Genomic DNA, 16365 nt, shown 5'->3' with positions numbered 1-16365 from the left:
CGGCTTAGTTATTGTTTACTTTGAAGCCCTTTTGCCTCTACTCTCTCCCATATATCTTCTCCTGACAGGGTGAAGTCACCTATAGCATTTCCTAGTGTATGGAAGTATTAATTTCTTTCTTTACTGGAAGAGCTACTAGCTTTTCTTCATACAGTTTCCTCTGCTCCAGTTTCATAAGTTTCTTTTTGGCTTGTATCTGTTTAGGATCAGGTGATATGGCTTCATTTCTCATGACTGAAGCCCGGCAACATAACACTGAAATTCGAATGGCAGTCAGCAAAGTGGCTGATAAAATGGATCATCTCATGACTAAGGTGACTGAGTCAGAGTTGGGGTGATGTTGAAAGTGGGGATGTAAACAGGGAGCAGCCAGAACTGTAGGTAAACTCTTCTTTGATTTCCTGCATTGGTAGTAGTGAGAGGTTATTTCCCTACAAGGATAGTTATAATTATGTTGGGATCCAGTTAGTAGGAGAAAACTCTAACTTAACAGTTAGAGATTGTCCCAGGAACTCATTAACCCCCTTAACAACAGGGTCAAATCTTGGGTAAATTGTATTTCTTCATTTTATAATTTCTCACAAGGTCTTTCTGGTATCCCTTTTGTAGGTTGAAGAGTTACAGAAACATAGTGCTGGCAATTCCATGCTTATTCCTAGCATGTCAGTTACAATGGAAACAAGCATGATTATGAGCAACATCCAGCGAATCATTCAGGTGAGGGTGATTAAGAACATACCACTCAGGCTGAAGGTCTTACCCATCCTCTCTTCTCAGAGGTACTACTCTTTAACACCTCCACCCCAGAAATAGCCTGTGATAAACGCTACACTGGGTTAGACAATTCTAGAAAATCCATTATGGCTTAATTCTGTCCAAGTGACTTATCACTATATATTCTGAAGGAAACATTGCTTTTTTGACCATACTTCAGAATTTCACTTCTTTTTTTAGCCATTTATTCACTCAATCCATTGGACCTAGTGATTTGTATCCATCAGGTGTAATCTGATGTGTTGTTTTAACATACATGTGGACATAAGTTCTAGTGTTTTGTCTCAAAACATGTTAACAATGTCACCTGTCAGTTCAAGTTGATTCTCTTCTATCTGGCACTTTTCTCCCAAGACACTTAAATTGTACATCATATATTTTGAAATTAGGAAAATGAAAGATTGAAGCAAGAGATCCTTGAAAAGAGCAATCGGATAGAAGAACAGAATGACAAGATTAGTGAACTAATTGAACGAAATCAGAGGTAATGACAGGTACGGGGCCTGGCTAGGATGGACAAAAGGGTTTATTATGTATATGCCCAGCTTAAGTACACGTATTTGTTTAGGGCAGTACGTATGTATTTCTGCCATTTCTGTTTCCTGCCTGTCATGTGAATTATTGCCTGTTTTCTGAGAGGCATTGCAGTAGAAGGAGCTTAGTAGGCTGTGATGTAGGGCAGACCTGTGTTTGATTCCTGCTCTGACCCTCATTCATTCTGTGGCTCTGGGCATGTTATTTATTCCTGCTGGCCCTAGTTTCTTTATCTTTAAAACTGGTATTATTACTTACAGAACTCTGGTGTCAACTCTTCTCTCTTCTGTGTGGGCTAACTCTATTTTATCCATCAGAACTCAGCCAAAACTTCACTGATTCCCATATAAGACCTAAGGATTTTGTACTTTTTGTAGATACTTCTGAAGATTTGGAGGGGTGGGTGGGGAGGATGAGTGGAACACATCACAACACAGCATTTCACTTAAAAAAAATCATTCTCCCATATTTCTCTTCTCCACTGTCTCTTGTCTCCCACATGACAGAGCTGGGGGAGTGGCTTTCTCTTCTTCCCTCTTTCTTATAGCCTCCTTACTCCTGTCTCTTTCCTACTCATTCCCATTATCACACACCATTCACATTGTTGTCCTCTCCATTATTCAGGGTAGTTCACTGCTGGCCCAGGTTCCTGCTTCCAACCTGATTTCCTTAGATCTCACTACTTCAGATCTAAGGAAAAGAAAATGCTTTCAAATTGCTTTTGACAAAGGTATAGAGCAGCAATGTTGTGAGGACAGAATGGGCATTGGGTTGTGCCTGCCATACACTCAGTGCTTGATAAATGTTTTCTTTTTCTCTATTTCTTTCACAGGTATGTTGAGCAGAGTAACCTGATGATGGAGAAGAGGAACAACTCACTTCAGACAGCCACAGAAAACACACAGGCAAGAGTATTGCATGCTGAACAAGAGAAGGTAAAGCAACTGGGGAGAGAAAAGCCCAGGTCAGGATGGGTAGAGCTAAGGAATGGTCCCATGTACATACTCACCAGTCGGCTTTCCAACAGAATTTTTGCAGTCACTGCAAAAAGAACTAGATATCTCCCAGCAGGTTTTCATGTATTCATCATCTACATTTCTGTTTTATAATATGCTTCGCAGTAAGGTGACTCAAAAATAATCACTGATCTTAGTAATTTGATTAGTTAAGAATTACACAGCTTATTAGAAACTAAATTTATTCTGTTGACAAAATCAACAGAAAATTTCCTTTATACCAGGTAACAGATGTGTAGGTTCTTTTTAGTGGAATTTAAGATTGTTTGCTCCTTCATCTGTGTCTGCCAAAGCATTTTAAAGTACTACTGTTTGACTTCAATCCTTTCAAAACCAGGAATTTTGACCTGTTCCTGCAGTAGCAGTAAGTAGTGGGTCTTGGATTGGGATCTGCTGATTCTGAAGCTCGCTTCTCCCCTTGCTCCAGTGACGTTCTTTATCCTGAATGGATTCCTTCTTGTTTGGGCTACCACTCATCAGCTAGGAGATCCTGACTTTTTCATCTACTGTCTTTCTTCTCAGAGGTTTAGAACTCGTTTATATTTTGTATTTGTGTTTTCCTTGAAAACATGAAAAGTTAGATTGAACACACTTGTAACTTGTGGAGTTTACTCACTTTCTCATATTCTGTAATGAGGATTCCTTACTATGTCTTATGCTAATCTTTGTCTTCTCTTAGCCCTAGAATCCAGGCAAGCAGTGCCTCATCCTGCACAGCCCTGTCCAATCCTGACCCTGTTCTGTTCCCATTACTTTATACCATTTCTTATTTATGTGACTGACTCCTAATGCCTAGGTCAAGATCAGCAGCCTGTAACATTGTTATCGTTAGGTAGTACTGAAGTCACTTCACCACTCCCCACCCACTAAATGTACTTTTTACTATTTCTCCTTCCTCTACTTTTATTTCTTCTCTTCCTTTCCTTTACTCCTTTTGTTTGCTTGTTTGTTTTTTCTTTATAAAGGGCATCTAAATATATTATTTGGCCTCACAGTTACTATTCAGGGCTAAAATGATTACTGTAACTTGTTCCAGATCAGTGGTCCACAAACACTGGCTGCCTCCGACTTACTTGGGGTGCTTGATTAAAACTAGATATTCTTAAATCCCGAACCTCCAGAGATTCTAATTTAGTTTATCTAGCTGGGGCCTGAATCTGAACTTTTAAAAAGATCCTATAGATTCCAGGTGTAGGAATTACTGCTCTTGTCAGTGATTTCTTTTGTCATAATCTCTGGAGGGGCAACATTTTTAAGAAGTTCAGCATGTGATTCTCATGTTGAGAAGCACTGTTTTGTGTGTGTATGTGTTCCAATAAAACTTTATTTACAAAAATAATAGGTCAGTTTGGCTCATAGGTCATAGTTTGCCAGCCCCTGAATTAGCTCAATAATCTACCCAAATGTTTTCATGTTGATAAACCCCAGAGATGTCTGATACCATGCACTGAACCCAGTAGATGCTCTATTTATAATAGCAAAACAGTAGAAGTAATAATGACAATAGTAATCACAGCTAATATCTGCCACAACCCACTGTGTTATAGATACCATGTTTCACACAAATTTTTTAGGGAATCTCTTGATGCATATGACTGGGATGCCAAGTACCACATGTTTTACTTGATCATCTTTATTTCAATGAAACTTTTTGAGCCTTGACTCTCCCCTCTTTTTCTTTTGATCCACTTCTCACTTAACAGTTTTCCTGGTGATCTCTCCTTTTAAAGGGAGATGGGCAAGGTCCTTTTGTCCCTGGAGGCAATTTTCTGCCTTCAGACACAGCTCAGAAAAGTATGGTTAAGGGCTCAATGAATATTTGGTAAATGAAATTATTTTTCACTGTGATATAATAGTACCACAAAAAATCGTGGAATAATGGCTAAAACTGGAAGAGCTATTAGAGGTTGCCTTCTTAGTTTAACCTTTTTATTTTACAGGGACAGACCAAGGATCAGAGAATGAAAGGGTAAAAGACCTGCATAGGACCCCATTTCCATTCAGCTATATTCCTTTTCCTGTGTCAAATTATTATCTCTCTTGAGTACTATTTTCCTGCTTCTACCTTGCATGCTTTTTTTCACTGTTTTTCTGAACTGTTAGTTCTTCCTGTCATTGCTTTCTTTTTCTCACTCTCCATGTCAGCAGTAGAATTTGATCCAGGGTAGGAACCAGGGTGTAGATTTTTTTGTGTTTTCCCTTCTCACTTGATTATACCCTGACCTTAAAAAAAAATTATAAGTACACCTATACACACACACACACACACACACACACACACACATTTTTTTCTGATCATAAAAGTTGCATCTGTTCAGTCTGGAAAATTTAGAAATACAGATAAGCAAACATAAAATATAAATCCTTCCACTCAAAAATAATGATTATTAATATCTTATCCATTCCCTTATTTTCTGTGTACATGTACATTTGGGGGACAGCATTAATTTTTATGCTTCTGAGAGGCCTTTCTAGCTAAGGACCTGAGATAAAAAGAGCTTTTGGGTGATTTTCTACTCTGCTTAACCTTTAGCAAGAGAGTAACCCTGCATTTCATTGGCACGCCTTTGGAATTTGTCCCTTCCAGTGTTTTAGCTGCTGCAAGTCCTTATGAGAGAGGTGCATGTTCTGTTATTAGTGAACTCTGAGCTATGAATAGATGCAAAGCTCTCTGAGCTCTGAGTTAGTTTTGTTTTCATTAGGCCATTTGAAGCAGGACAATGAGTAGATGAAAGCCACTCCTATATCTGGAACTTCTAGATTTCATTGTCATCTGTGTTTAGCAGGTGAAAACCTAAGGCTACTGAATAGCAAAAATAAGTATCTTAAAGCTTAGTCTAAAGGTTACATATACTCTCAGATACTCATTTATAGCCTATTTATTTTTATTTATTTATTTTTTAAAGTGAAAGCAAGTTTATTAAGTGAAGGAATAAAAGAATGATTACCCCACAGGCAGAGCAGTGGCATGTTATTTTTATTTTATATACAATTTTGTTTTCTTGTTTTTTTTTTTTTTCTTTTGAGATGGAGTCTTGCTCTGTTGCCCAGGCAGGAGTGCAGTGGCACGATCTCAGCTCACTGCAACCTCTGCCTCCCAGGTTCAAGTGATTCTCCTGCCTCAGCCTCCGAGTAGCTGGGATGACAGGCGCCCACCACCATGCCTGGCTAATTTTTGTATTTTTAGTAGAGACCGAGTTTCACCATGTTGGTCAGGCTGGTCTCGAACTCCTGACCTCGTGATCTGCCCGCTTCGGCCTCCCAAAGTGGTGGGATTACAGGCGCGAGCCACTGCGCCCGGCCTTTATTTTCTTTTTTTAGGAGAGTCAAAATATCAGATTTTAAATGCAATCTATAAAACCGATAAAGACTTTGGAATAAGGCGAGGAATAAATATATTTAAAACAAGTGGGTACAGTGAACACAGTAAGAAGAGACAAATGATAATAAGGAAATAGACAACTGTGAAAATGTATGTAAGGTATAATAGAGACAGGCATAGTAGCTTGCACCTGTGGTCCCAGCTACTCCAGAGGCTGAGGTGGGAGGATTGCTTGAGCCCAGGAGTCCGAGGCTACAGTGAGCTATGTCGTGTCATTGCACTCTAGCCTGGGTGACTGAGCGAGACCCCATCTCTAAAAAAAAAAAAATTTTAAGTATACTGGTATAGGTATAATAGTATAGGAGTCATAATAGTAGTAGTAATATAATTGTATAGGAGAGATGGTCCACCCCATAATTTGAATTTGGTTTAATGCAGGTTGAAGGCAGCCATAACTCCCTGTTTACTAGTTCAGTCTACATAGAGTTATGTGAGGTTGGTTCATCACCTGCATGGAGAACACCTATGTTTAAAGTGACATCATACTTTGTTATTATTCAGGCCAAGGTGACAGAGGAGTTAGCAGCGGCCACTGCACAGGTCTCTCATCTGCAGCTGAAAATGACTGCTCACCAAAAAAAGGAAACAGAGCTGCAGATGCAGCTGACAGAAAGCCTGAAGGAGACAGATCTTCTCAGGGGCCAGCTCACCAAAGTGCAGGCAAAGCTCTCAGGTATGTGCTAGGTGGGGGATGCTGGGATTGTTGCCATTTAAACTCAAGGAATTAAGCTGTTTTCTTCCTCTCAATTTTTTTGGCATGATGCTCATGAAGTTTTTGAAGGACTACACCAAAAATTAAAGGAGACTAGTATAAAACCTACATGATTGTTTTACAGAAGGAACAGCAAAAGAACTGACTATTCATGTGGAATTGATCAGTGCCACAGTTCCCTTTTGTTTGGGGAGGTGTTGGCTTCAAAATCTTTGGTACTTATGATTGGCTTCAAATGCCTGGAATAGTTGATGTGTTGTTCTAACTCATGACTCAGTGGAAGTTTAAAAAAGAAATGCTTCCTGGTGTGGTTTCTTCTTTCCTAGAAGATGGATTGCAACTCTTCAGCCTCACACTCAAGGCCCATCCTGCTTGGCTTGTCTCCCGTTATATTGTCCAGTTCATCCTGGCCCTGACCATGCCAGCAAGCCTGCTGGCTGCTCTTCAGCTCATCCTGTAGTTCTTGTCTTGCTTCTTATCCATGCTATTCTCTGGACTTGACATGCCCACCATTACCAATATTCGCTTTTAGTCCTCTTCAAAATCTGCCTCTTTCAGAAGCTTTCCTAGTTTTCTCTAGAACATTTGATCTCTTTAAAAAAAAATCCTTTATCTCATAGTGCATTATTATAACCCTTATCACAGTTTGATAAGCATGGTGTTTTGCTCATCTTTGTAAAGTCCTCTCCTCCATATTAGTGTTAGTTCAGTGCCTGGCAAGACATGGTGATTGGATAGAAGATTTGTGAAGACCAGCAGGTTGATTAATCTACCTTGGTTTATGGAAACAAATATGGAAGGCAGACATGGGACTAGTGGGCAGGGGGTAGCTGGAGCAGCAGCAGAGTTGGGTGGAAGCAAAGTTCATTTGCCTAATAGAGAACTAAAAAACAATGATGTCAATTGGTAAGGTGCTACCTTGAAGATACATCCCTTCCCTTTTATTTTTTTAAAAATTTTTTATATTTTGTAGAGACAGGAGTCTTACTATGTTGACCAGGCTGGTTGTGAACTCTTGACCTCAAGCCATCCTTCCGCCCTGTTCTCCCAAAGCGTTGGGATTAACAGGCATTGGCCATTGCTCCCAGCCCATCTCTTCCCTTTTAGAGCATGACTGGGCCCACATGAGGCAAATGTGTTAGACAGTCTTAGATTTGAATGTTGTTCAAATGTCTCATTTCTGCTTTTGTGGTGCCTTATGACAATTACCTCAAGAGTCATAAGAGTCTCAAAAGTTTCCCAAACAAATTTTATTTATTTCAAAGAGCTTTATTTGAGAAGGGATGCTTTGAAAGCAAATTCTTGGTAGAATGTCCCAGCTACCAAGAAAGTTGAGACTATCTTACTCAAGCAGTGAGAAAGAACCTGGACTAATACTAAACAATGATTGGTCCAGTGTGTTAAGATGGTGGCCAAAATGGACTTATGAGAGTTATCTGTTTCAAAGGTCATTTCTGACTGCTGGGAACATGTCCTTTCCATTTCGTATGTGGAGAAGGTGACATGTATACACAGAGATGACTTTCTATGGGATAAATATGGGTTGATGAGGGAGTCAGCTGACGGCTTGACAAATCTTATTGCTGGTCAGTGAGGTGATGTTGAAAGAAGTGAGCAGAGGCTGCTTGTGTGGTAGGATTGGGAAATCAAAGCACGCGGCTTTGAAAGAGCCACTGGGGCCAGGCGCAGGGGCTCACGCCTGTAATCCTAGCACTCTGGGAGGCTGAGGCAGGAGGACTGCTTGAGCCCAGGAGATGGAGGCTATAGTGAGCTATGATCACACCACTGCACTCCAGCCTGAGTGATGGAGCAAGGCTTTGTCTCCAAAAAATAATTTAAAAAAAGAGCTGCTGGGATAACACATAGCCCATTACAGCTTTGGTTCTGTAGCGAAGTCTCTCTGCTCCTGTATCCCAGAGCTCCAAGAAACCTCTGAGCAAGCACAGTCCAAATTCAAAAGTGAAAAGCAGAACCGGAAACAACTGGAACTCAAGGTGACATCCCTGGAGGAGGAACTGACTGACCTTCGAGTTGAGAAGGAGTCCTTGGAAAAGGTAAGCTCTACAACCCAGTTGGCCAGAATTAGCTGTTTAATAAACATTTTTATTTTCCTTTTACAAATTACAATAGTATGTGCTTATTGTAACAAATACAAATAATATAGAAAAGTGTAAAATTAAAAAAAAATTTTCCCCGCTCTAATCTCATACATTGAAGGTGACAGTTATAAAGTGTATGATCCTTCCAGATTGTTTTCTGTATGTAGAAAACATACATTCACACTCTCACACACATACATGTATGTATACTGACAACTTTTTTTACAGTAGTGGTATCACGTTTAATGTTTTTTAGGAAAATGTCATGGACTTGTACTACATAAGAAGGAGATCTTTCTCACTCGTAGTTAACTGCTGCATAGTAGCCTACTATGAGGCTGTACCATAATTTGTTTAATGATTTGCCTATCGATGGATATTTATGTTTTTATTTTTTCATTATTTTAAGCACTGCTTCTATGGACATTCTCATATTATATAACTGTTTTTGCAAATTTGTTTGAGCATTCCTACGTGATGGATTGCATGAGTAAGAATCATGGGATCAAAGGGAAGGCTACATATTTGAATTTTTATAAATATTACCAGGTTATCCTCAAAGAATAGTGCTTACACTTTCAGCAGTATGTGAGTGAGCCCATTTGTCACATTCTTCCCCACTCTACATATATCACTTTTTCTAATCTTCATTAGTCTGACAGGTGAAATATGTTATCTTGTTTTAATGTGTATTTTTATTAGTAGTAAAGCTTTCATATATTTAATACCTATTTGTATTTCTTATGTACATTCTCTCTTTAGTGTCCTTTATCCTTTTTCCTATTATTAGTTTGATTTGTAAACCCTTTTAAGGGTATCAATCCTTTGTCAGTCATAGATGTTGTAAATATTTTTCTAGCTTGCTGTCTTTTAACTTTATTTATAGTATCTTTTGTTGGTTAAAATTTTAATATCAGGAAATACTAAGTGAACAAAGTGAGAACATTTCTATCTTTTTGTCTGTTCTGGAATCGTTTAAATATGAAAATAATAAACTGCTCCTGAGGCTTCAGTAAATCTCATTAGGTAAAGCTGTTTTGGCCCAGTGCCTTTTAAGAGGGTAAATCTTGGTCTGCAATTGCATTTTTTTCCAGGATTTTTTCCATTTTATTTATTTATTTTTAACCAATTCCTTCTAACCTCTTGGCTGTTTTCAGTTTGTCATTACTATAGATACTACTACAGTGACCATCCTTGTAACACACTCTTTATGACTATGACTTATTGAATCCTTAATTACAATTTGTGGAATTTCTGGATACGTATGTTTTTAAAGGCTTTTCACAGGATTACTATCCAAAGAGAGTATATCCATTCGTTTTCTTACTATCAGGGTATGAGAATGTCTGATTTCCTGTACCTTTATTAAAGTTAGGATGTTCCCTAGCTCTTTTTTTTTTTTTTTTTTTTTTTTTTTTTTTTTTTTTCTGAGGCGGAGTCTCGCTCTGTCGCCCAGGATGGAGTGCAGTGGCGGGATCTCGGCTCACTGCAAGCTCCGCCTCCCGGGTTCATGCCATTCTCCTGCCTCAGCCTCCCAAGTAGCTGGGACTACAGGCGCCCGCCACTACGCCCGGCTAATTTTTTGTATTTTTTAGTAGAGACGGGGTTTCACCGTTTTAGCCGGGATGGTCTCGATCTCCTGACCTCGTGATCCGCCCGCCTCGGCCTCCCAATTTCCCTAGCTCTTAATAGAGGGGTAGATACAGCTCTTCTTGTTTTCCTTCTCCTGTCACCATTTTCCTCACCCAGTAGCCAAGAATGTTAAATATTTAGGGGAAAATTCAACTAAAAAATGGAGTTTTCAGAAATGGAGTAAGGATTCCACAAGGTAATTAACTGCCACCGCCATCATCCCTCTTTATTCTCTGTTAACAAGCTAGAGCTGATGATGGTTCTCTTGTTCCTAAGAACCTCTCAGAAAGGAAAAAGAAGTCAGCTCAAGAGCGTTCTCAGGCCGAGGAGGAGATAGATGAAATTCGCAAGTCATACCAGGAGGAATTGGACAAACTTCGACAGCTCTTGAAAAAGACTCGAGTGTCCACAGACCAAGCAGCTGCAGAGCAGGTAATGGGAAACTGAAGCACTTTGAAAATAGAGGGAAGGTGTGAAGGACTCAGAGAGAAAAGCTTCTGGTTTCTTCCTTACCCTTTAGGATGACATTTCTCATAGCTGATACTCTCACTTTGGAGAAAGGTAGAAAAAGTAATCCAGATATGTGCAGGAGAGCCAGGAATCAAATGGAGAATCTTCTTTCTTTTTTTAAAGCTTAGTTAATATTTAATTACATAAGTAAAAATGAAAAATAGTTTCCTTACAAAAAAAATTCCAAACATGGTAAGGCCAAAACCATCAACCATTGGACACCATCCTTCAGGCACATTATCATCCTTGAAAAGAAGGGATTGATTTAGGTCATCAGGAAGGGAACCAGGGATAGTGGCAGGACACAGCTGGATCTCTAGTCTGTGCAACAGCAACCTTTCTCATTATAAGCTTAAAATTTATATGCATACATTTGTTTAATTAGAGTGCATTGGTGCCCTCAATTTGACCACCTCTGGGAATTTTGGTGAAAAAAAGTTTCTGAACCTATAAAGTTTAGGGTTCAGACCCTGAAAAGCAGTGATCACATGGCCCTGCCCTCCAGGGACCTATCTAGATAGGCACACTTTTGTCTGCTTGGAGTACCTTTTGGAGTCCTGACAACCAATGACATCTTAAGAAGTGCATTTATTTTAAAAGTAATGAGTCTTTTAAACAGTTTCCCAGTTAAATCTGGGCTGTTAGCTTATTCTTTTGCTTTTTGAAAGATGGGTTTCCCTAGGTGCAATGGAATCTCACTCCCCCACCCCCAAGGATGATATGGTCATTACTTTCTCTTGGCAGCTGTCTTTAGTACAGGCTGAGCTACAGACCCAGTGGGAAGCAAAATGTGAACATTTGTTGGCCTCCGCCAAGGATGAGCACCTGCAGCAGTACCAGGAGGTGTGCGCACAGAGAGATGCCTACCAGCAGAAGCTGGTACAACTTCAGGAAAAGGTACATATTTTTCTTGAGTCAGACAGTTTAGGCAGCCCAGTTAATTTGAGGCAAGCAGGCTGTTTGAGTCCTGTCGATCCTTCTAAGCCTGAAAGTTATTAATATCTAGAAGACAAAACCACACTTGTTTAGCTTGTCAGTTATCTTTCACATACTTATGTGGGGTGATAGGTCAGTGACCTGGAAAAAGAGAAAACAGCACTAGTGTTCCGGAACATGTTTCCCATTATTATTGGATCCTTCATTTATTAAGCAAATATTTATTGAGAGTCAGTTGTATTCCATCCAGTGTGTTAAAGGAAGTGCATACAAGGAACCCTTCCCTCATGTATCTCACAGTCAAGAAAGGGAGACAAAGAAACAAAGATAGGTGTTAAGTGCTATGGGGCCCAGAAGAGGAAGTACCCAGGAGAGCTGGGAAGGTTTCCCAAAGGTGGTGACATTTGAGCAGAGCCAAGAAGGACAAATAGCTTTGGTAAGGCAGCAAAGGAGGCAGAACATCCTGGGCAAAGGCACTGAGATAGGATGGAGGCTGGGGTGTGGTGGGATCATCAGGCCTGAAAAAGAGAGATGGGACATGGCTTAGGGTCATGGTGTGAAAGTCCATATTCGAGGTCAGTTTCTTTCCTTAAAGTGTCCAGTTGAAAACTTTTGGCTCAGAGATCTTGGAGGCAATCTTGCAGATGAATGACAAATGGGTTGCTGTTAATGCTGAATGTTTATGTCTAAATGACTAGTTATTACCTACCCTCCTGCTCTTTTTTCATTATATTTTTTACCTGATTGGGAACAAGGCAAGCAACCTTCTTGGGAAAGAGAAAGTGAAGTTTTGCGTTGAAGTCGAATGATGAGGAGATAGAACTCTCTGAGGCAGAGGGTCGTGGGTGGGGGCTGAGGGAGTGGACACCAGCAGACCTAGGCGAGGTTAAGACTTGATGTTTAGAGATTCTGGAGAGGATGTGGAGAAATAGGAACGCTTTTACACTGTTGGTGGGAGTGTAAATTAGTTCAACCATTGTGGAAGACAGTGTGGCGATTCCTTAAGGATCTAGAACTAGAATTACCATTTGACCCAGCAATCCCATTACTGGTTATATACCTAAAGGATTATAAATCATGCTACTATAAAGACACATGCACATGTATGTTTATTGTGGCACTATTCACAATAGCAAAGACTTGGAACCAACCCAAATGTCCATCAGTGATAGACTGGATTAAGAAAATGTGGCACATATACACCATGGAATACTATGCAGCCATAAAAAAGGATGAGTTCATGTCCTTTGCAGGGACATGGTTGAAGCTGGAAACCATCACTCCCAGCAAACTATCACAAGGACAGAAAACCAAACACTGCATGTTCTCACTCATAGGTGGGAATTGATCAGTGAGAACACTTGGACACAGGGCGGGGAACATCACACACCGGGGCCTGTCGGGGGTTGGGGGACGGGGGGAGGGATAGCATTAGGAGAAATACCTAATGTAAATGATGAGTTGATGGGTGCAGCACACCAACATGGCACATGTATACCTATGCATCAAACCTGCACATTGTGCACATGTGCCCTAGAACTTAAAGTATAATAATAATAAAAAAAAAGAATTTGAAATAAAATTGTCTTTTTATTATATGCAAAAAAAAAAAAAAGAGACTTGATGTTTGGGTGGTTCTCCTCCCCTTGGGTTTTCTGACCTTCACCTGGTTCCTGAGGCCACAGCCACAGTCTGTTTGTTTTGCAGTGTTTAGCCCTCCAGGCCCAAATCACAGCTCTCACCAAGCAAAATGAACAGCACATCAAGGAACTAGAGAAGAACAAGTCCCAGATGTCTGGGGTTGAAGCTGCTGCATCTGACCCCTCAGAGAAGGTGAGCTGGTATTTCAAATGAGAAGCAAGCCATTTATATCAAGCATTCAGAAAGAACATGGCCAGTATGTTGTGTTAATAGCTCTTTTTCTAACTTTAGTGATGTTTTACTTGTCTGATGACTTTAAAATGAACCAGATTTGGTGTTTGTTTGTTTGAGACGGAGTCTCACTTTGTCACCAGGCTAGAGTGCAGTGATGTGATCTTGGCTCACTGCAACCTCCGCCTCCCAGGTTCAAGCGATTCTCCTGCCGCAGCCGCCTGAGTAGCTGGGACTACAGGCACGCGCCACCACACCCAGCTAATTTTTGTATTTTTAGTAGAGACAGGGTTTCACCATGTTGGCCAGGATGGTCTCGGTCTCTTGACCTTGTGATCCGCCTGCCTCAGCCTCCCAAAGTGCTGGGATTACAGGCATGAGCCACCATGCCCGGCCCAGATTTGGTTCTTGAGTTTAAGGAGCTTACAGCCTAGTGGGAAAACAAACAAATACATACTTACATATTAAGTGGCAAACCCAAAAGAACCCTATCTTTCTGAGGTTTTGACAGGTATAGGAAGGGCCTCTAACCACAGAAGAAGAATGGGGCTTGGGGAGTGTGCCCAGCATCCACTGGCCTCTGACCCTTAGAGCCTATGGCAGCTCCTAGTGGTGCTCACAGTGGGAGGGGGACATCAAGAAATGGTCTTTAAGCAGTCTTGGGCACACAGACCACAGCTTGCCTGCCCTTGATAGGTAACTCTCATGACTAGCCCTTCTGTCAAAGTGCTGCTCATTATTTAATATCATCCTCTCCACAGTGACAGCCTTCAGTGTCTCTGCTTATGACCAGCAGTATCCCAGTGTAGAGATCTAAGATGGCTTCATTTTGGCCTTCCATACACCTCTCTGGAATTTAATGCATCCTTTAGTGACTTGATTTTGACAGCATGTGTTTTGATGTTCACACAGGTCAAGAAGATCATGAACCAGGTGTTCCAGTCCTTACGGAGAGAGTTTGAGCTGGAGGAATCTTACAATGGCAGGACCATTCTGGGAACCATCATGAATACGATCAAGGTACAGCCAGCCAGCTGTCATTTGTTTCATCGTATTGGGCATTTTGTTGCTTAAGTACCTTCTAAGGGATCATGAATAAAAAATTGTTCAAAGCTGGCACAGTGGCTTATGCTTGTAATCCCAGCATTTTGGGAGGCCAAGGTGGGAGGACTGCTTGAGGCCAGGAGCTTGAGACCAGCTTGGGCAACATAATGAGACTTTGTCTCTACTAAAATTAAAAATTTAAAAATTAGCCGGGTATGGTGGCACGTGCCTGTAGTCCCAGCTACTTGGGAGGCTGAGGCAGGAGAATCACTTGAGCCCAGGAGTTCAAGACTACAGTGAGCCATGATTGCCCCCAACTGCACTCCAGCCTGGATAACAGAGCAAGACCCTGTCTCCAAAGAAAAAAAAAAGAAAATTATTCAGGACTGTTCCTCAGTAATTAGGATGCCTGGAGTGACTTGACAGATATAGTCAGCCTCTTTTAACAGGAAAGAAGCAAAGTCATTTAAACTACATGACCAGTAGTGTTAATAAGAATTAGGAGTGGCTACTGTGTTCCTTTCAGTGACCATCTCTTCCTTGGCTTTTGAATAGATGGTGACTCTTCAGCTGTTAAACCAACAGGAGCAAGAGAAGGAAGAGAGCAGCAGTGAAGAAGAAGAAGAAAAAGCAGAAGAGCGGCCACGAAGACCTTCCCAGGAGCAGTCAGCCTCAGCCAGTTCTGGGCAGCCTCAAGCACCCCTGAATAGGGAGAGGCCAGAGTCCCCCATGGTGCCCTCAGAGCAGGTGGTCGAGGAAGCTGTCCCGTTGCCTCCTCAGGCCCTCACCACTTCCCAGGATGGACACAGAAGGAAAGGGGACTCAGAAGCTGAGGCACTCTCAGAGATAAAAGATGGTTCCCTTCCACCCGAACTGTCTTGCATCCCATCCCACAGAGTTCTAGGGCCCCCGACTTCAATTCCACCTGAGCCCCTAGGCCCTGTATCCATGGACTCTGAGTGTGAGGAGTCACTTGCTGCCAGCCCAATGGCAGCTAAGCCCGACAACCCATCAGGAAAGGTCTGTGTCAGGGAAGTAGCACCAGATGGCCCACTACAAGAAAGCTCCACAAGACTGTCCCTGACTTCAGACCCCGAGGAGGGGGACCCACTGGCCTTAGGGCCTGAAAGCCCAGGAGAGCCTCAGCCTCCACAGCTCAAGAAAGATGATGTCACTAGCTCCACCGGTCCCCACAAGGAGCTGTCAAGCACAGAGGCAGGTTCCACAGTTGCAGGAGCAGCCCTCAGACCCAGCCATCATTCCCAGCGTTCCAGGTATGTTCCTCTGAGCACTGCTTCAGGGACAGGGTAGTTATCTGTGGTGAGTGTCTCTGTTTTTTCCAGGGCTGGCAACTCATCCCTCAGAGACTAATTTACTCATGTCTTCATTCATTAGTTGATGTATTAATTCAACAACACCTACCATGTACAAGGCTCTGTGGCGGGCCCTACAGTAGTGTGGCGGGCCCTGTGGTAGTGTGGCGGGCCCTGCGGTAGTGTGGCGGGCACTGTGGTAGTGTGGTGGGCCCTGTGATAGTGTGGTAGGCAAGGCAGGTTTGGTTCTTGAGTTTAAGGAGTGACAGTCAAGTGGAGAAAACAAATACATACTTACATATCATAAAGTATGATAAGTCCTTTTAAAAAAGAAACAGGGTGCTATTCTAAAGGAGTTGTTCCACTTTAGATAGGGTGGCTAGGGAAGGATTCTGAGAAGGTCACATTGAAAAGATGACTCTGGCTGTAGGTTCTGGAGGGGGCCAACCGCACTAGGAGGCCACTGTAGGGTGTGGGAAGAGATGGTGGCAGCGGAGGTGGGAGGAATTCCTGAGCAGTCACCAACGCTGTTGAATTCTTA

The 16365-nt window shown here is 41.7% G+C and overlaps 1 protein-coding gene across 3 annotated transcripts in view; it reads left to right on the top strand.

The window, feature by feature from the left end:
• Positions 1–16365, top strand: part of FKBP15 (FKBP prolyl isomerase family member 15) — a 60272-nt gene that overhangs the window by 36269 nt on the left and 7638 nt on the right. For 2 of the 3 annotated variants that reach the window (NM_015258.2, XM_006717019.2), the window contains 11 exons: positions 205–314; positions 610–717; positions 1164–1258; positions 2141–2243; positions 6208–6379; positions 8336–8472; positions 10426–10581; positions 11404–11556; positions 13303–13428; positions 14380–14487; positions 15067–15785. In NM_015258.2, coding sequence (NP_056073.1) covers positions 205–314; positions 610–717; positions 1164–1258; positions 2141–2243; positions 6208–6379; positions 8336–8472; positions 10426–10581; positions 11404–11556; positions 13303–13428; positions 14380–14487; positions 15067–15785 — 1987 coding nt within the window. The remainder of the gene's footprint in view (positions 1–204; positions 315–609; positions 718–1163; positions 1259–2140; positions 2244–6207; positions 6380–8335; positions 8473–10425; positions 10582–11403; positions 11557–13302; positions 13429–14379; positions 14488–15066; positions 15786–16365) is intronic. The other variant, XM_006717018.3, reaches the window with a different exon arrangement.

Source organism: Homo sapiens, chromosome 9 (genome assembly GCF_000001405.40).
Source record: "Homo sapiens chromosome 9, GRCh38.p14 Primary Assembly".
NCBI classification, from domain to species: Eukaryota; Metazoa; Chordata; class Mammalia; order Primates; family Hominidae; genus Homo; species Homo sapiens.
Note: the sequence above shows the minus strand (reverse complement) of the source record. Positions and strands in the feature narration are given on the sequence as shown.